General features: G+C 34.9%; 1 long non-coding RNA gene and 1 pseudogene across 1 annotated transcript in view, besides 1 other annotated feature; one reads left to right on the top strand and one right to left on the bottom strand.

Moving 5' to 3' along the window:
• The window catches only part of LINC00440 (long intergenic non-protein coding RNA 440), a 44,950-nt gene that overhangs the window by 18,425 nt on the left and 4,202 nt on the right, over positions 1 to 22,323 (bottom strand). The window lies entirely within an intron of this gene.
• Positions 11,145 to 12,956, top strand: TRIM60P13 (tripartite motif containing 60 pseudogene 13; annotated as a pseudogene).
• Positions 18,354 to 18,855: an enhancer, noted in NCBI's record as "NANOG hESC enhancer chr13:89895215-89895716 (GRCh37/hg19 assembly coordinates)". NCBI's record gives its function as "activates a minimal SCP1, AML or CMV promoter by ChIP-STARR-seq in naive H9 embryonic stem cells {active_cell/tissue: H9 hESC(naive)}" and the evidence as "EXISTENCE:reporter gene assay evidence [ECO:0000049][PMID:30033119]".

Here is a 22,323-nt window from a genome sequence, read left to right as displayed (position 1 = left end):
GATTGAAAGAATCAATATTGTTAAAATGTCCCTACTACCCAAAGCAATCTACAGATTCAATGCAATCCTTATCAAAATACTAATGACATTCTTCACAGAAATAGAAAAAACAATCTTAAAATTTACATGAAACCACAAAAGACCCAGAACAGCCAAAGGTATCCTAAGCAAAAAGGACCAAACTAGAAGAATCACATTACCTGACCTCGAATTCTACTACAGAGCTATAATAACCGAAATAGCATGGTAGTGGCATATCAACAGACACATAGACCAACGGAAGAGAATACAGAACCTGGAAACTAATCCACACACCACTCAGTGAACTCGTTTTTGATAAAGGTGCCAAGAATATACAGTGGGGAAAAGACAGTCTCTTCAATAAATGTGCTGGGTAAACTGGTTATCCATATGCAGAAAAATGAAACTAGATCTCTATCTCTCATCATATACAAAATGAAATTAAAATGCATTAAATACTTAAACCTAAGGCCTCAAACTATGAAACTACTGGAGGAAAACATTGGGTAAATTTTCCAGAAAATTGTTCTGGGCAAAGATTTCTTGAGCAATACACCACAGTCACAGGCAACTGAAGCAAAAATGGACAAATGGGATCACATCAAATTAAAAGACTTCTTCACAGTAAAGAATACAATCAACAAAGTGAAGAGACAACACATAAAATGGAAGAAAATATGCAAAATACCACTTCAACAATGAATTTATCACCAGATTATATAAGGAGCTCAAACAACTCTGTAGGAAAAAATCTGATAATCTGGTCAAAAATGGGCAAAAGATTTCAATAGACATCTCTGAAAAGAAGACATACAAATGGCAAACAGATATATGAAAAGGTGATGAATATCACAGATCATTAGAGAAATGCAAATCAAAAATACAATGATATATCATCTCACCCCAGTTAAAATGGCTTATATTCAAAAGGTGGGTAATAACAAAGGCTGGTGAAGATGTGGAGAAAAGTGAATCCCACTACACTGTTGGTGGAAATGTAAGTTAATACAACTACTATGGAGAACACTTTTGGAGACTCTTCAAAAAACTAAAATAAACTAAAAATAAACAATAAACAAAAAATAAACAAAAAACTAAAAATAGAGGTACATATGATCCAGCAATCCCACTGCTAGGTATATACTCAAAAGAAAGGGAATCAGAATCTCAAAGAAATACCTGCACTCCTATGTTTGCTGCAGCACTGTTTATAATAACTAAGATTTGGAGGCAACCTAATTGTTCCTCAACAGATGAATGGATAAAATATGGTACATATACACAGTGGAGTACTATTTGGTCATAAAAAAGAGTGAGATCTAGTCATGTGAAACAACATGGCAAGAACTGGAATCATTATGTTAAGTGAAATAAGCCAGGCACAGAAAAACGAACATTGCATGATCTCACTTATTTGTGGAATCTAAATTAAGACAGCTGAACTCATGGACTTGGAAAGTAGAAGGATGGTTACTTTCTGACCTACACATGGTTTGAATTTTTTCCCTGTTTATGAATGTATTCCTTAAAACCCATTTTTTTAAGCAGAGAAAACAGAGGCTACTTGATAAGTGGTATTAGTTACAAAAGGAATTAATCTCGTATGCTGGCTGAGAAGAAGAAATATTATAAGGATATGAGAACAGAACCCATATAAAATTATACAGCCCACTCTATAGACGTTTAAACGTATGCCAATGGAAAGCAAAACTGTATGACAACAAACTGGAATATTTTAACTAAGTGCTCCAGTTTAACATTTTTCAAGCAATATTTCTTGTTCCACTTCCAACTAGCAAATTCTTTCAATGCTTCTAGATTACATCATGAAAGAAAGAAGAAAGCAAGAATTAGTTTCAATCAAGCAATAAAAACTGCAATTGCTTAGACAAAAATCTGGCTGCATTTTAGATTCGGACCACCTAGGTCTAGTGCCCAATCTTAGCCACAATAAGGGCAACCCAAATAATTAGCAACCCAGTAAAGGTCCTCTTAGTAGATGATGAATGAAAATGTGTAGCAACCTGGGAAACTGGAAGTAAAGAGACACTTTCTTTATATAAATACAACCTAATAATATGATATTATAATTTTACCTGTTACTGGATGTTGTTAAAAATAATAGCTGATTCTGAAAACACAACATACTTTTTTTATTCATGAAGATTTAAAGAACATTTATTTGAAATCTGCAATTAGTATGTTTCTATGTATATCAATCAGCATGATTTTCTCTGTGGTATAGGCATTCACTGATTAAAAATATTAAGGATTTCTCTAGGCTCATGAATACTAATTTGTTCTTTTTCCTTTTTAATTAAAATTTGATAGCATGAGTCCTACACATTTTCTTCCTCAATTAATTAGGAAAAGCACAAGTAAATAAAAAAAGTATTGAAAATGTTTAATTTTTATTTTACATCTATACTTCTCTGAAATCTCACAACCCAAACCAGAAAACTGTAAAATCTATGGATAATATTTAGCAGTAGATCAAATTATTTAACCAGATATACTTAAACTTTAACCCTCGAGTCATCTGGATGGACATCATTACATGACTTCCACCTCTGCTAAGCCAAATATAAATCTAGTTGATAAAACTGCTCCCATATTTCCACGTCAGCATAATTAACGTTGCTGGAGAAGGCAAATCAAATTAAATATTGTTACCCTATGGCATAGTTGGATTACAGTCAGTGTTTTCCAATTGCACTTCTTCTGTTAGCAACGTAATTTTTGCAGTTTTAGTTAACGGTCATTGTGAAGAATACTTTCTGAATAAATTACAGGAAACTCCTTGGCTTTAAAAAATTTCTAATCAAATTTGATAAGGCAGATAACATTATCAGCAAACCTGGCAAGCCTTTATCCTATATTGTTACTCATGAATTTTTAAAGGGTAAACAATACAATCAGATATATTTTAAAAATACTTATTAATAATTATATGCATAATTTTTAAATTTAGATATCCATTCCCATATTGATAAACATTTAGGTTGTTTACAAAATTTTACAAACAATGCTGTAATACACTTGTATGTGTGAAGTAAAACTACAGAACTATGAATAGAAAAGTTACACACCAGTTTCAGAAGAGTGATGTACTCAGTGAAAGTGGAAGGGATGAGCAAAGTCACATAGTTTCCCTGACCTTTATCAACAAACATAATGAATTCATAATACTACATACATCAAATGTGACATTAAACATTCCTTGTGGCGTAGTGCTCAAATTATTCTTATATTTTAAATATCACTAAATTTAAAAAGCAAGAGAAAAAATGAATATAAACATTACTGCATGAAATTAGTATTTTAAGTGTAGGACTTGTTTAGAACTTGTTTCTGCAACCATATTTAATTACACACATCTTAATAATACTTCTTAAATTTACTACTCAGTTTTCTGTTATTAAAACTGTTCTCAGAAACTGGGACTATCACATGACCGTCTTTGTATTAGTCTGTTCTCACACTGCTAATAAAAACACACCAGAGACTGGGTAATCTATAAAGGAAAGAGGTCTAATTGACTCACAGTTCAGCATGGCTGAGGAAGCCTCAGGAAACTTACAATTATGGCAGAAGGGGAAGCAAGCATGTTCTTCTTCACAGGGCAGCAGGAAAGAGAAAAATGAGAACTGAATGAAAGGGAAAACCCCTTATAAAATCATCGGATCTCGTGAGAACTTACTATCATGAGAATAGCATGAGGGCAATCGCCCTCGCCCTATGATTCAATTACCTCCCACCAGGTCCCTCCCATGACGTGGGAAGTATGAGAACTACATTCAAGATAAGATTTGGGTGGGGACACAACAAAACCATACTAGTCTTTTAAAAGGTAAGTGAGTTGAATCCATGTGTAGTAGAAGTCATTATGAAAGCTTTTATTTTAGCAAGGAAATTAGCAATGAAGTTGGTAGTAATGAATCATCAGTTTTAAGTGTTATCTTAGGATTCAGACCACTTGACTCCTGAGATAAGAGCTTTGGGGACTTGGTTAAACAATGTCTTAAAGTAGCACAATTAGTATTGAAGGATATCTGGGGTGGCCACAGTAGCAAGTACCACATTTCATCACCCGGGGTTATCGAAAAGAGTTAGCAAATTGCTCAAAGTCACAAACACTTAGTAAGTCTCAGAAGCAGTATTTGATTCCAGGTGAGAGGAATTCTAAGTGGAAGAAAAACCTCCAAATTGAGTGTCGCCAGACTTGTCCAAGCCACTGATATGGAACACTTAAAAATGTGGATCTTGAAGTTAGGCTACTTGGCTTAAAATCCCCCGGAAACCACTGGCCAGCTGCTAGCCTTTGCACACAGGTCTCTAAATTCACATGCTAACATCCCCCTCTCTGCAATTCCAAAATTCAGTAGCTTTAACATATCAAAGATTGTAAAGGTTTGGTACAAACTTACTTGGTGTCATTTAAAAGGAAATTTAAAATTTTATTAACTCTGTTACCTATGCATATCCAAATGTTTCATACAGACATGCTAATATTTTTATTCATATATTTCTCAATATGTTTGATTGTACTGCTATAGACACCTCTAGAGTTGTTATCAAATAGAGAGTAAATGGGTCACATCATATTTCTAAAATATTTTGGATGCTCTAGCATGTCTAGTTTAAATAATTCTGTATAATACATTCTTGGTCCTTTTTTTTATCAGTTGTAGAATTGGAGGAAAAAAGTATCTCTCATATAGAATTTTCATGGCAATTAAAATAATGTCGATTAGTTACTGAGCTCAATATCTGAGCCTCTTAATAATTACTCAGTCCATGTTTACTATCATTAATATACCCTCAGGGTAAAAGTCAAAACTGACTTGTAAAGAAACTGTTATAAGATATTCTAAGTAACTTGAAATTTCTATCTGACCTAGATCATTGCCCTACTTCCATTTCTTTAGCATACAGATGGCCTATGTCTATAAAGAAGACCATATAAAATGAAAAAATAAGGTTAACTTGAGATAGAATTTTTCTCAGCATCAAGATTCATAAAAGAGTGGTATGATATCTTCAGACTATGCAAAGATTCCAGAATTACCCGACCTAGGATTTTTTTTTTTTTGGTCAGGAGGTGAGGCAAAATGTAACAATAAAGCACAAATCCTAAAATATAAAATTCATATCTCAAGTTTCAAAATAGGAAGACCTATTTGATGGTGAAAACTTGGAACAAATATAAGAAAAGTCAAAATAAATAATGCACACTTGCTGTTTCGGTGGTGACAAAAGATCAAGCGCTGAGTGCTGTACCCACTTGCAATAGGATAGGCAGCTGGTAAGAGGCCTCCTAATGGTCCCTGCCTCCTGGTACTTAACACCCTTGAATATTTCCTTCCCTTTGAATGTGGGCTACATTTAGATGTTTCCTTTTCATGAAAAGAGTATGACAGAAGACAATTTCAAGTATAGACTGCAAAAAGACCATGTCTTTATTCTTGTGTCCTGTTTCTCCCTTGCTTGCTCTGAAATAAGCCAGCTGTCATTATGTGAGCTGCAGTAAGGAGATGCGTAAGTGGGGAGGCCCTGAGTCCGTGAGAAACTCAGGGCTTCTGCCTACCATCAGGTGTGGAATCCTGTCAACAACTGCATTCCAGCCTGTAGCTTATGAAAGATCAGGAACCAGAGGCACTCAGCTAAGCAACATTTGGAATCTTGGTCCACAGAAATGGACAAGTAGCAAACGTTTGCAAGTTTACACCATGAAGCTTTGGGATAATTGCTTACATGGCAATAAAAAGTATTTAACTATAGGGATAATGCTAAATGGCTTCTGTTATGGAACTGAATATAATTTTTATGAATATGAATAAAGCTAAAATGGATAGTGTAGTTGGAGGTGACAAAAGAAATAGTATAGTGTGAGTGAAGTGCTAGTATAAAGAAATATATGTGTTCTAATTTTTAAATGGATGTTATAGTGGAGTAAAAATACTATCTAGATTTCAAAAATTACAAAATGTAAATGTAAGAACATGACCTGTCAATGTGCACTAAGTGAAACCAAATAATGCAAAATAGTGCACAAATAATGCATAATGAAACATGGATATTATTAAGAATAATGAAGAGAAAGAGGAAAGGGGAAGTAGCTAACATACAGTGAACAATTTTGATATTGCTGTATTAGTCAATTTTCATACTGCTACGAAGAAATACACCAGACTGGGTAAATTATAAAGAAAAAGAGGTTTAATAGACTCAGAATTCCACATAGCTGAAGAGGCCTCACAATCATGGCAGAAGGCAAAGGACAGGCAAAGACACATCTTACATGGCAGCAGGCAAAGAAAGCATGTGCAGGGGAACTGCTCTTTATAAAAGGACCAGATCTCATGAGACTTATTTGCTATCACAAGAACAGCACAGTAATAACCCACCCCCATGATTCAGTTACCTCCTACCTGGTACCTCCCATGTGGGGTTTATGGGAGCTACAATTCAAGGTGAGATTTGGGTGGGGACACAGCCAAACCATATCAAATGCTGTCTGTCTTTTTAGCCCTTTATATTCATTAACTCATTCAATCCTCACAACAACCCTAGAAAAAGTGTGCTATTTATTTATTTTTTTTGAGATGGAATCTCACTCTGTTACCCAGACTAGAGTGCAATGTCACGAACTCAGCTCACTGCAATCTCCGCCTCCCGGGTTCACGCAATTCTCCTGTCTCACTACTGAGTAGCTGGGATTACAGGCGCCCACCACCATGCCCGGCTATTTTTTTTGTATTTTGGGTAGAGAAGGGGTTTCGCCATGTTGGCCAGGCTGGTCTTGAACTCCTGATCTTAGGTGATCCACCTGCCTCGACCTCCTAAAGTGTTGGGATTACAGGCGTAAGCGACCGTGCTCTGCCCAATGTGTGCTATTTTTATCTCCATTTTATAGATGAGAACAGTAAAAAGGGTACTATACAATAAAACTCATGTTACATAGTTAAGTATGTGCTCAGAAAAATAAACCCTCAAATGCTTGTTAAAGAGTAAAAGAAATAACAATATTAAAAAAAAGAACAGAAAGAAAAGCACAAGAAAGGAATGAAAGATTTAAAAAGAGACTATGCACCCTTCCATGCTTAAAAAAAAAAAAAAACTCAATGTCATGCATAATCAGAATCCTTCCCAACTTAGGAAAAAATGTGCTTTCTCCTTTCTCTTTCTGGAATTCTCTCCCCAGCAGCCCAATCTTTACTCACATTCCCATCTTTCATTTATCTCCTTATTGGTCTACATCACTTCCTCCCATGAACTTCTTTGATCACCAAAACTAAAATGTCCTTCTTGTAGTCTCCTTTTTTCTCTTTAAATCTTTGATAATTCAGGTACATTAAGTTAATCATACCCCTCATTTATTAGTCATTATCTCTCATAAATTGATAATTATCCTCATTTAGTGGTCTGTGAGTGCCTCTAGGTACTCAGTTTAGTTTATATCACTTTCATTACTTTTCTCCTTCATGTTATCCTCAATCTCTGTCTATTCCTCAATAGTCACCACCTACAGCACTCTTGAGAAGAACCATAATGGATTAGTTTAGGTCTTGTAATTGTACCTATAGGTAGGATAAGAAGGCTTATTCTTAGAAAAAGAAATCGATTGCATTTTAAAAATTAATTCTAAGTAAACACAAAATACAGACTAAATGTTAAAATAAACTCTTTTGGGATTAAGAAGTTAGCTTATTCATTACCACCACTATTGATTGTATTAAAAATTGTATGCATATGTTTAAAGTAGCTATTTCATCTGCCATTTCTTTGTTGATGATAAAAAAATCTTGTCAGAAAGTTTGAGTCATAAACACATCAAGTTTACCACATAATTATTTAAGAAAAAGTTTAGCACATAATTATTTAAGCAGTAAAAAAATAGGCAGTTCACAAATATAAGTACATTGCCGAAAAATATGTTTCAAAATCAGACCATTTAGATATGGGTTTTATTGGTAAGAATTTTCATTTGTTAAATAGAATTTCTATGAAAATTAATATTTTTGCAATAGGAAAATAATTAGTCACATGGGAACCATTATGACAGTTGCTATTACAGGTGAAACAGTTCTGAATAAATTCAAAAGATGAGGAACGAAAGTATTATATTGTATATTCTGAGTTTTTTTTTTCTTTTATACCTCAGACATACCTACAGTTGATAAAATGGCAAGGCTTACTTTGATAAGTAAAGAACTGCAGACAGATAATATCTACAGAGGTGATCAAAAAGGAACTAGCAATAGTAACTAATAGCAGCACTTGGAGAAATTCTATGGTCCCTCCAAAGGAAAGTTGGCCTTAATGCTGGAAGTAAGCAATATATTTATTGACGTGGCAAAAGAAAAGGCACCATATAATTCTGATAAATAAATAAAATTTATATGTTCTTAATATATTCTTTTGCTCAATCCTTGTTTATATAACTGAAACCTCAGGGCTTCAGAACTACATAAAACACCTATCCTTTTCATTTAGCATTTCCTATAAAGAAAATCACTTATAGTTAAAATTGTATGTCACACAAAGCATTTTCTTAACAAGCAAACAAATAAAATGTTTTTCTCATCCTCCAGATTTTCTATAAAAATGTTTGTGTCTCCTAAAAAGTTTGGAGCAATGTGATTTCATATGACTATATGTTCTTGTGCCACTGTTGTTTTTACGTTATTTAGCGTCTGCAGATATAATATTATTTTCATGGATGAAACTGACCATCCACCTCTTTATTCATCCTTCCCTCAACTTTTTCCAAGAATAATAATAAAAGAAAAAAGATGACCCTTGAAAAAAAAGTAATTAGCAAAAACGAGTTTTGCTGCAAAATTTATTTCATATAACTGAAAAAAAAGAACAAAAAACCTAGAAGAAATACAGCAAGTATGCTATCATTACTGAACCTAATAGAGGTCCCATAATGAACTGCAAAGTTTGAACTACAAAACCATTTGAATCCAAACTTTAAAACAGAAAATATATTAACATACATTTCCCTATCTGGTCAGAATAAACTTTCTGAAAATGGATAAATACTGAGAATTAGAAAAAATATTAATAAGCCTAATGTGATAGATACATATTTAGTGTACAGGATGACCAATAAAAAAAGCCAACATAAACTCTTCGGGAAGCTCTTTTGTTCATAATCCCTGGTAATAAACATTTCAGGTGCCAAAAGAATGAAATGAAGAAGCTTGAAATCTATACTTTGCACAGAAATCTATTTGGGGGGAAAAAGGCAAATTTAAGTCTAAAACAAGTAGCAATTTTTAAGAAGATAAAATTAGAACAAACTACTGAAGTCTAGAAACCAAAACGTTAAGTTTGTAGATGAGGAATCAGAAGCCCAGTGAGATTAAATGACTTCGTTAAAGGCATGGGCAGCAAATTCATTAAAATCCAAATTTCTCAGTCCAAGTTCATGTGGTTTTTACTTGTCCAAAGAGACTGTTCTATTTCAGGACTAGTAAAATTAGGTAGAGTCCTAAAAATAATTCTTTAGGGAGTAGCCATTAACATGCTTTGTAGTTTCTAATATACAATGTTAAAGCAATTTCAGAGTAAGTCACATATAAAAGATAGTTTATAAACTTAAGGGGTAAAAACTAACCTTTGAACAAAAATAATTTTTATAAAAAAGTTGAGAAGAATTTACTCTCTTTGTGAATAACATCTTAGCTGACATAATTGTTCACTTTGTTCACTGAAATAATACATTTTTCTCTAATATGGGACATGTTCTACATACTTTTAAATATATAAAATGAGAAAATATGTTATAATTCCAATATTCCTTAAGAATTTCTGAAAAAAATGAGAAAAAAATTCGTAAAGTATTGATTTTTCACTGTAGGATGAAAAAATGAAAATATAACAGGGAAAATGAAAACTAAAACACATAAATTTGTTATAACTATAAGGAATTTCATATGCAATATTTCGGTGATGTATAAAACACAATTATGTAATATCCATTCTAAACTCCCAAGTAGAAAACCTACATTTAAGAGCAAGTGTGCATTTTTAAAATGTAAACTATAGATACAGCAAATATATTTTGAAAGACAGAACATCTGATTGTACTATAAAATAAATATCTGACATATTAATTTTTAGAATATATTTTTAATCTATGTAAAATGTTATCTTCAGTCATGACACACCAATTTATCATGCATTGCCATGCCATTACTAGATATTCTTGGACCTCAAAAGTGAGCCAAACAATGAAAAACAACAAATACAAATCTGTTTTTCAAGGATTTCAGACCTCAGGACCTATTCTAGGGAGTAGACAATTACTAGGAAAATTAAATGAAAATAGAGCACGGTAAGTAGTGATGAGTATTAAGGAGAATCTTCAACAAGGAGTGAAGATAGAGATGCTCAGTGGGACGGTGTAAATTTTAGGCCTGAGGTACAAAGAGACTCACTGGAAGGGTGGCATTGAAGTCAAGAGGTGGTTTTCTGAAGAATATGGATCTCTGGGGAAAACATTAGGCAATGGAAAGAAAAAGTACAGTGTAAGTACATGTTATGGAAAGTGGTTTATTTAAGGAACAAACAGCCAAGAAAGCAGTGCATCTAGAGAGGTTAGCAAGCAGAGAAAAAGTATGAGAAGAAAAAATATCATTAAGTTCTAGAGAATTGTAAGGGTATTTACTTTATGAGGACCCAATGCAATATTTTGTGGAGAGCAATGGCTGTTAACATTTAGTTGCATTAAAATTACCTGAGAGGACAGTCAAAAATATTGCAGAGCTCTCTCTCCAGAATTTCTGATTCGGTAGGCATAAATCTGTCTCCAGAACGTGTTGCTGGACCAATGGCCACACTAAATATCATGGGCTTGGAAGAGTAACATGACATGTTTTAATGCAATTAATCTGGTTTACTTTTGGCAATAGACTAAAGTGGGTCAAGGATAAAAGCAAAGGTGGCAAACTTCTTCCTCTGAAGATTGTGGCTGAATTTATTTTCAGGTTTACATGTTTTAGTTGTATCGTGTTAGTGTGTGTGTGTGGGTAGTGTGTGTGTGTGCTTGTGTGTGTGTGTGCATGATTTTCAAAAGACTATAGAGGCTACTTCCAGGGTAATCCTCAATCATGGTGTGGACTGTGTGTGCACCGTTTTTGCAGAAACCCATCCTCAGGGGCGTGTTGGGGTTTCACCAGTCCTGGGCTGAACATAACTCAGAGGCTTCTGCACAACCTCAGGCCAAAGTCTCTGAGCCATTTACTCCAGGCAATCAGTTTGTCCCATTACCAGATAAAGTTAGTGTATTTAGATGTCTATATTGTAAAGAAATGATTACTTTCTTGGACCTCTGGCTACTTTCTTGAAGAAAGTCATCGTACTTAACTTTAGGTGGGCTGATATGTGATCGACATGCAAGCTGCTTCTGGAGCTAAGAGGCAGAGGCCTAAATGAGACTTTGGTAGGACCAGTGAAACCTACAGCCAGTCAGTCTTTGAGGTTTCCGGGGAGATATCCATTTTCACTTAGCCTTGAGCTCTAGAGATGGAGGCCTTGCTTTCTCTAGCCCACCCCATTTGGTCATGGCTTAGTGGAATTTGTGACAGCCCTTGCAAACCTCCAAGAGGAGTTTAGCTGGACATTCTTCTGGATTACTTGAAAGACTCAATGGCCCAAGTAATCCCTTGTGGATTACTTGAAAGACTCAACTATGGGCACAATCTGTGTGGCTCCTGCATCAATATATCGTGGAAAGTTCTAGATAATACCTTTTTCAAGTCTGTCTGCCATTTTTACCGCCCAGACGAAAACTTCAGGCAAAATCTCTAGCTTGGTAATTTGACTGAAATTGATAAGATACTACAGATGAGAAAAAACAACAAGAAAACACAGGATAGAATACCAGGTATAATAAATATAATCAATTTCTGGCTTTTCTCTGTGAAAAGAACCTAGAGGTTCTGTAAATACAGTGCAATTTCTCCTCAAAACAATGGAAGCATTACATTTGCCCCATTAAGAATGCTGCCTCCACCACAGGAAAATTCTTAAATGTAGCATTGAATTTGAAGAATAGTGTGGAAGGAATTGAAACAGTGATAAATTTGTAAGCCAACAAATCAATGGAGCTGAAAAAAAATGTAGGAGAGAAGAAATACATTCTGAATCTGAGCAACTTAAATTGTTTTTACTGAGTGATCAAGAGACTATTATTAGGCAGATGCAAGATGAAGGGATGGAAATTATAAAAACTTAAAAACCTTACACAATTCTCAGATCATGTATTCACATTAAAATATCTAGGGAGGGAGGTAGAAAGCACATATGTGCACTCTGAACTGGAATTACTGAAGTTACAAATATTCACCTGAATGATAGAAACTCAAAATATCCTAATTTATTTTCATTTTGATTAAAAAAATATGAATTCTGTCTTCTACAATATTCTGGGTTGGATGAAATTATTAAGCTATTTCAAGCAGATGTGATTATGTATCTTGAAACAGCACATCCTCACCTTAACATCTTTGAGTATAGAAAAATTATGTAATATGGAAAGAAAAAACACAATCTTTATTATAAAACAAGAAAGCTTTTTTTCTGCTCTGCTGTCCAGATTCTAAGAAATGTAATTATGGCAGGCATTACTGGGAGGTAAAATTGAGTAACAACCCTAAATGGATGTTGAGGGGTTCTCAAGACTGTCTTGCTCAGAAATGACAGAATCAGCTATTATTTCTGGGTGTTCTTGTGCAATTGGGGGATATGCTCAGAGCAGTTATATTGTATTGAGTCGAAGAGAATCCGGCTTCTTCCAATAATAAGACCCAGTAAGATGGGCATTTTTCTATACTATGAGTTTGGTGAGGTTCCCTTTAATATTAAGAATTTACAGATTTCTTCTGTACACTTTTAATGGTTATTTTACAGAAGCCTTTTGACTTTATTTTTATACTAGAACAGATTTCTGAAGCTCTTAAAAATCTTTTTGGTAACAGACTATGGAAGACAAAGTACCTGGAACACAACTGTTTCTTTTCATTTTCTTTCCGTTTGCAGGTATAACTTAGCCAGTAAATTTAGTCACAGTGATTTTGATTCGTTTTAAGTTTTACACCTAAAAAACCAGAATAGATTCTTTTTCCTCATTTTCAGCAACTATAAATACATGGTAGCAATACAAATTTCATAGACGCTTTGGGTGTCTATCATCAAGTGTTTTGAGATTCTGAGACGAAATATTTGAGATTTATATTACTTAGGAAATTTATGCTACTATAATTTTATGTATCAATGTGGCTAGGCTATATCAGAATATTCAATCAAGCATTAGTCTAAATGTTGTTAGTGAAGTTATTTTTTAGAGAAGACTAATATTTAAATCAGTAGACTCAGAATAAAGCAGATTATTCTTCATAATAGAGGTGGGCCTCAACCAATTAGTCAAAAGATTTAAGAGAAAAAAAAGACAGAAATCCCCTGAGGAAGTGAAAAATCTCCCTACAGTCAACCTTCTGGAGACTGGAGCTGCAACACCAACTCTTCCCTGGGATCTCCAGTCTGCTGCTATTCTCTGCAGATGCTGGACTAGCCAGCCTGTGCAACTGGGAGAACTAGTTCCTTACAATAGATCCCTCTTTCTGTGTATATATCCATATATTGATATATACACATATACATATACACACATACATAAATACACATATATATTCTATTGGTTCTGTTTCTTTATCAAACCTTGATTAATACAACATCTTGTACTCTTTTTAATTAAAAAAATACAATATTGCTGGGTGCGTTGGCTCACGCCTGTAATCCTAGCACTTTGGGAGGTGAAGGTGGGCAGATCACAAGGTCAGGAGATCAAGACCATCCTGGCCAACATAGTGAAACCCCATCTCTACTAAAAATACAAAAATTAGCTGGGTGTGGTGGCATGTGCCTGTAATCCCAGCTACTCAGGAGGCTGTGGCAAGATAATTGCTTGAACCTAGGAGGCAGAGGTTGCAGTGAGCCGAGATCGCACCACTACACTCCAGCCTGGCGACAAAGCGAGACTCCATATCAAAAACAAAAACAAAAACAAAAACAAAAACAAAAACAAAACAAAACAAAACAGAATGAGCTTGTATGGTATTACTTATTTAGACCCTCTTTTCTGGAAATTTTAGCCTTTAAGAAGCCTTCACAGAAGAGAAACACCCGTCCTCGATGCCTTGCTTTAAAATAGTCAAAGCAAACAATCAGTGATTTTGTTAGGTGGGAAGACTTTTAGATAGAATCACTGATCTAAAAAAAAGACTCAGATAATCACGAAACATGATGAAACACTGCTACACAGCATTTATACCTGAAATTACAATGCTTGCTAGGAAATTATGGACATCTATGCATTGGAATTAAGATATCTCAGGGGAGCCTCAGGAGTGGGAACAATGTGATCTGAAAACTACTTCTGAGGTGTGCTACATCTCACCCTGACCAGTCCTTATGTATTTTTCCACTATGATTAAACAATGTTAGATTAGAATGCATATTGATCTTTGTGATGACATTTCACAAAGAATATTAGTCATACCAGATAAACATATCTTTTAAAGTTGTTTAGATCCATGCCCTTTGAAGCAATTTTTTATGGCTTGATAAGATGAAAATAAAATCAACATTTTCCACTAACAATAAAAGCTTAAAGCATATACCTCGGCTTTAGATAGTGATTTTAAGAATTTGGGGAATTCGGCTGGGTGCAGTTGCTCATGCCTGTAATCCCAGCAGTTTGGGAGGCCGAGGCGGGTGGATCACCTGAAGTCGGGATTTCTAGACCAGTCTGGCCAACATGATGAAACCCCGTCTCCACTAAAAAAAAAAATACAAAAAATTAGCCGGGCTTGGTGGCTGGAGCGTGTAATCCCAGCTACTCGGGAGGCTGAGACAGGAGAATAGCTTGAACCTGGGAGGCGGAGGTTGCAGCGAGCCAAGATCATGCCACTGCACTCCAGCCTGGGCAACAAGAGCGAAATTCTGTCTCAAAAAAAAAAAAAAAGTATTTGGGGGATTCAAATAGTATGTTTAAGGAATAATTATGAAATTCAGTGTCAATAAAGTCCACAATGTAAAATAAATAAGTCAACTGATGTTTAAAAGGGTTATGAGTCCAACAAAACACCAAGTGTTATGAACAAGAAGTTGTTAATATTATCCTTTTGGGAAAGGCTAGATGCAAGAATCTACATAAACAGAAATTCGTCAATTAAGGCAAAATAAGCTACAATTAGCTATTCTTCTCAATATCTTGCTTATTAAAAAAATAATAGGAGGAGGTCAATAATTTGTGTCTGTTGACTGTTACTTCTTTTATGTACATCAGAGCCCTTATCCATTTAACATATTTTCTAGCATAAAGACCATTGCAAAACTGCTATTCATTTCCCAGTTTGGTAAATATGAAAGTTATGAGCGATCTTCCTTTAACCGCCTATCGCATACATGGTACTTGACGGTGGTAAAATATCGTCATTAAGACCTTAGTTTGCAGAACCATTAGACCAAAAGCCAAAGTAAGTGTGTGAACTCACAATAGTAGCCACCCCTCAACCCCTGTAGTTACTACAGTTGGATATTCATTTGGATTGTGTTCCTTATTTAGGCATGTAATTGCCTTTTATGTGGAATCATTGCAATGCATTCAATATTGTTAAAAGTCATTTGTGACAACAAGAGCATAAGTGTTAAGGCTGAGTTTATACTTTGATTATCTGATGTCAGATTTTCATGCAAACAATGACATTATCTGCACAATACAACTTTTCCTGACTTTGCCCTTTTTCTCCCTTCATTTCCTGTTAGTTTACTTGCAAAGTGTTTTTGCCATCTGCAATTGGTGGCTGCTGTACTATAATAAATCAGAGTTCTAAATAAGAACTTTTCAAACGGATTCAGAGAGAATTTGGTATCTTGGCTTGTCAGATACAAAGCTTTGAGGATAACTTGTGTAATTTGCTATTTTATAAACTAGAAAAATTGAGAGTTCCAGAACCCAGAAAAAGAAAACAACAACAACAACAACAAAGAAGAAAGGATGAGAGCTAAGACAGAGGAAGTCACAGAGAGAAATATAGACAACAACCTGGTTCCTATGTACATTTGTCCTTGATATTCAACCATTTTTCTTAACTTGAGTTTTATGATATGTCCAAGAATATTTTTTATCTTTCTTTTCTTAATTCTGTCACGTGCAAATGAATGACATTCTAGACACTGTCATTTCCCTCATTCTAAAACACAATCATTGGCCACAATTGAGAAACTTTCAACAATATTTTTACCCACAAGAGGAAATATAAAGTGACTTTTAATAATAGGTGGGCAATCACTTAAGATGTTGAGAAAAGTTTTGGCCATCCACTTATTTTTTAATGCTGTATTCAGAGAGCATTATTTGATGTTGAAATTCTAATTTTCATGTATCTGTACTTGTATGCTGGCATAGGCTAATATATGTTATTGCTCACTAATCATCACTTCTTATGACTATTGCTTCTCTTGCATTTAACCTGATAATTGTTTTGTCATGCCAATAATGTACAATTCTTTAAATAAACTAGGGAAAGGATTAACCCACTTTCCTTGATCACAAGCAGGGAGATATTTTTCACTTTCTCAGCCCATCACTGGGTAAATCTGGAGTGGTTCTAACACCTCAGCACATTTTTCAATGGGGCTAAAACTAGAGCCCTGAGTCAATGTAATATTGCATTTCAATCACCATCTTAGTTTGTATTTTATACTATTAATTTTGAACAGAGAAGAGGAAAAGTTTTCATCCACCATCATCAATATCAAACATTGTTTCAGGAAGATGATAAAGTATGATCAGTGAGATGATGTAAATTTAGTGGAAATGTAATTTAGGGGGCTATTGCATTTGTAGTAAGATTATAAAGTCATTCATGTATATGATGAATACAACATGATGACATGGGTTGACAGAGGAGGAGAATGGGACAAGATACCTCAATCTTCAATAATGGATTTTTTCATTAATCTGTGTAATGTATGAAAAATGTCTTCTATATTTTGGCTTTGACTTTTGAATTTAATAAAAAATATAACATATTTGAAATTCATTTTACAAAACAGTATATGAAGTATGATTTCATGCTTATGTTGTACAAAATAAATTTAAAATGCTAAAAATAGTAATGTTAATTTTCTATACACAGACACATTTTCCCAATATCTAAACTTTTATTGTTTATATTATTTTAACTTTACTCTTATGAATACTTTCTATTTTTAAGACAAAGATATTAGTCCATTCTCACACTGCTATAAAGAACTACCTGAGACTAGGTAATTTATAAGGAAAAGAAGTTTAATTGGCTCACGGTTCCACAGGCTGTACAGGAAGCATGGCTGGGGAGGCCTCAGGAAACTAACAATCATGGCAGAAGGTGAAGGGGAAGCAGGCACATCTTACATGTCCAGAGCAGGAAGAAGAGAGCAAAGAGGGAGGTGCTACACACTTCTAAACAACCAGACCTAGTGAGAACTCACTCACTATCACAAGAACAGCAAGCAGTAAATCTGCCCATGATTCACTCACCTTCCACCAGGCCCCCCCTCCAACATTGGGGGACACAAACCCAAACCATATCAACAAACAAACCTGCCTTTTATAAAATTTAAAATTAAGTCAAAGACAAAATAATAACATTGGTGAGAATGAATGAAATAGGCAATATCATACATGTGTAGGATCTTCTGGTATAATAGTTAAAACAGTTATTGTATGCATGCAAATGTTTAAAATGTATTTTATTTGATATTTATATTTATATATTATACACTATAGATAATGTATAGCATATAATGTATAAAAATTATTGCATATATTGAATATATTGTGTATATTATTCATATATATTAAAATAAATACTATATGCTATTATAACAGTGTGATAGAGATGTTATATGTAAATAATTAAAATATTTAAGGGGAGATTTGAAGATATTTTTAAAAAGTCAAATCTCAATTAATTTCTCTCTAAGGGTTTAACATAAACGTCACGAGAAACCTTTGAAAAATATTTTAGTAGATTTTTACACATTAAGAACAAAACATAATTATGCAACTTTTAAGATGGTTTATTATCAGGGGAAATTCAGCCAGATATCAGGCAAAGTTCACCCCCGATATTTCATGTAGGTTCTTTTCTATTTTCCCTAAGTGTCAGCTGGTTTGAGAAATAAAGGGACAGAGTACAAAAGACAGAAATTTTAAAGCTGGGCATCCAGGAAAGACATCACATGTTGGTTGGTTCCGTGATGCCCCACAAGCCACAAAACCAGCAAGTTTTTATTAGGGACTTTCAAAAGGGGAGGGAGTGTATGAATAGGTGTGGGTCACAGAGATCACATACTTCACAAGGTAATAGAATATCACAAGGCAAACGGAGGCAGGGCGAGATCACAGGACCACAGGACCGGGGTGAAATTAAAATTGCTAATGAAGTTTTGGGCACCATTGTCATTGATAACATCTTATCAGGAGACAGGGTTTCAGAGCAACCGGTCTGACCAAAATTTATTAGGTGGGAATTTCCTTTTCCTAATAAGCCTGGGAGCGCTATGGGAGACTGGGGTTTATTTCATCCCTACAGTTTCGACCACAGAGGACAGCCATACCCAAGGGGGCCATTTAGAGACCCCCACCCTCAGGGGCGCATTCTCTTTCTCAGGGATGTTCCTTGCTGAGAAAAAGAATTCAGCGATATTTCTCTCATTTGCTTTTGAAAGAAGAGAAATATGGCTCTGTTCTGCCTGGCTCACCAGCGGTCAGAGTTTAAGGTTATCTCTCTTGTTCCCTAAACATTGCTGTTATCCTGTTCTTTTTTCAAGGTGCCCAGATTTCATATTGTTCAAACACACATGCTCTACAGTTTGTGCAGTTAACGCAATCATCACAGGGTCCTGAGGTGACATACATCCTCCTAGGCTTACGAGATGACAGGATTAGGGGATTAAAGTAAAGACAGGCCTAGGAAATCACAAGGGTATTGACTGGGGAAGTGATAAGTGTCCACGAAATCTTCACAATTTATGTTTAGAGATTGCAGTAAAGACAGGCATAAGAAATTATAAAAGTATTAATTTGGGGAACTAATAAATGTCCATGAAATCTTCACAATCCACGTTCTTCTGCCATGGCTTCAGCCGGTCCCTCTGTTTGGGGTCCCTGACTTCCTGCAACAGTTTATAATTACATATTTTAAAATACATACGTTGAAGAAAAATATGAGGGGCCAGTGCTAAGGAGATAGTTAAACAGGACAGGAAGGAGGCCAGAATGTTAATATACTAAAAGATGCAAATAAATATTGAATAATTACTGTGGTTACATTTATGAGTACTTTAATCCTAGTACTTTTCTTGGTTTTACTTCTTTAATATTTAACAGTTGTGTGTCCTTGAGTAAATTGCTTAAGTCTCTGCTGCGGCTTCTTTCTATATAACATAAATATAATTGTACCTACCAAATGGACTTCTTTTGAAAATAATTGATAAAATATAACGCAATTGTGGTGTAAGGTTATATACATAACATTGCTTTTTCTTCCCCGGTTCCTTGTTCCTAACACCCATAGCCCTTGTTATAATTGATGTTGCATGTGCCTGGCCTCAAGAGCAGGCCTCAGGAATGAGAATCTCTCTGACCTACTCCTACCCTCCTTTCACCTGCCCCATAGCAGGACTTTAAACTTCCGCTGCCTGCCTTTCTGATTGCAGGTCATAAGACTCCCATTCTAGAGAAGAACCTGCCCCATACCCTTGGAGAAAGAATGCTGACATCATGAAGCTTCCATGAAAACCCAAGAGGACTGGGTTCAGAGTGCCTCCTGATAACCAAACCCATGGAGGTTCCTGGAGGGGGGTGCACCCAGAGGTGACATATAAATGCTGCCCTGTCCCCCATACTTTGCCCTGTGTATCTCTGCACCTTTATCTTTTAGAATATCCTCTAGAATAAACTGGTAAATGTCAGTGCTTCTCTGAGTTCTGTGAACTGCTCCAGTAAATTAAACATAAAGAGGGTTGTAGGAAACCCAACTTGAAGCCAGTTGGTCAGAAGTTGCAGAGGCTTAAACTTGTTACTGGTGTCTGAAGAAGGGTCAGTTTGGGGGACTGAGACCCCAGCCTGTAGGATCTGACATTATCTCCAGGTAGACAGTGTTGGAATTGAATGGAGAAAACCCAGTTGCTGTCCACTGCAAAACTGATTGCTTGCTTGCTGGTGGGAAGATATTGCCACATATTTTGAGGTCACAGAAGTCTTCTATGTTGTTGTGCTGGTGTGAGATCACAAGGAAAACACAGTTTGAGAGCTTTTCCAAAACTACAACACAGTATAATTCAATAGTCCAAAAAGAAAGCAAAAAATAAAAGTTTGATACATAATTACAATAAAAATATTTTTCTACATCATTTGCATTATTTTTATAATTAGAAAAGATATCTGAGCTAAGATTATTCTATCATTTATCTAATATCAAGCTTCTTTGATATCATTGGTTCAATTTAGGATTTGGAAGTATATTTTGCCTCCCTGGCAACTCACTATTGTTAGTTGCAGAATTTTTATCATGTTCGTGATTGGTCAATGAGTTCCACTATGTGCTTATATATTTAATTGTATTTTTACATATAATTTATATTAAAAAGCTTTATGTAAGGGTAAATCCTTGCTACTGCTCTTGCTAAGGGAGAAAGGCCATAAATCGGTGATTAGGCCTGTTGATGGCCCATTCACACAGTCATATGCTGCATAATGACGTTTCAGTCAAGTAGGGACTGTATATACACTGGTGGTCTCATAAGATTATGATGTAGCTGAAAAATTCCAAGTATCTTGAGACATCATAGCCATCTTAATTTTGTAGCAGAATCCATTACTCATGTGTTTGTGGTGATGCTGGTGTTAATAAACCTATTGTTCTGCCAGTGGTATAAAAACAGGACACATGAGATCATGGACAGTCCACAATACTTGATAATGGTAATAAATGATAATGTTACTAGTTTATGTATTTAGTATATTTTATTTTTATTTTATAGTGCACTCTTTCTACTTATAAAAATTGTGAACTGTAAAACAGCTTCAGGTGGTATTCCAGAAGGAAACATTACTATCATAGGAGATGATGGCTCCATACATATGGTCCCTGAAGACCTTCCAGTGGGGCATGATGTGCCAATGGAAGACAGTGGTAATGATGATTCTGACCCTATGTGGTCCTAGGCTAATGTATGTGTTTGGGTCTTAGTTTTTAACAAAACAGTTTAAACGTTTTTTAAATACAAAAATAAAAATAGGAATATAAAGAAAAAATATTTTTGTTAAGTTGTATAACTTGTGTTTCAAGCTGAGTTGTTACAAAAGAGGCAAAAGTTTTTTAAAAAAGTTTTAAAGTTTATAAAGTAAGAATAGTTTAAATAAGCTAAGGTTGATTTATTATTGAAGAAAAAACTAAATAAATTTTGTGTATCATAAGTATACCATGTTTATAAAGTCTACAGTAGTGTACAGTAATGTCCTAGGCATTCACATTCACTCACCCCTCACTGTCTGACACCCAGAGCAACTTCCAGTCCTGCAACCTCTACCCATTGTAAATGCCCTATACAGGTGTACCATTATTTGTATTTTATGCTATATTTTTATTGTAACTTTTATGTGTTTGGATATGTTTAGATATGCAAATAGTTACAATTGCCTACAGTATTCAACACAGTAACATACTGTGCAGCTTTGCAGCCTAGGAGTAATAGGCTAAACCATACGGATACAGCCTAGATGTGTAGTAGCCTATCCTATCTAGGTGTGCTTAATTACACTCTATGATGTTTGCACAATGACAAAATCATCTAATGACATACTTTTCAGAATGTATCTTTGTTGAGTGAATCATGAAGATAAACTGTTCCATCCCAGGAGGAGACAGTGCACTCAAACATGGAAATTCTTGGGCTCATGAAAATTGTTTTTTTTAAGGAGTATTAGATAACACTTTTTATGAAATACCAAAATTGCTATTTTGATAACTTTTTTCTTTTTGTTATCAGAAAAATCAATCAATCTTTGAATTTTTTGCCTTACTAAATTAGAAAAGTGAGTATCCTCTGTGTTTTGTAATATCCTGTTGGCTCATAGACTTTGAAATGTGTTGTTGAAATACACTCCATAATAGTGGAGAGAGAAACAATGAGACAGCTTTAGGAAAGTCATCCACAGCTGCCTAAAGACATGGT

Source organism: Homo sapiens, chromosome 13 (assembly GCF_000001405.40).
Source record: "Homo sapiens chromosome 13, GRCh38.p14 Primary Assembly".
In the NCBI taxonomy this organism is placed as follows: domain Eukaryota; kingdom Metazoa; phylum Chordata; class Mammalia; order Primates; family Hominidae; genus Homo; species Homo sapiens.
Note: the sequence above shows the minus strand (reverse complement) of the source record. Positions and strands in the feature narration are given on the sequence as shown.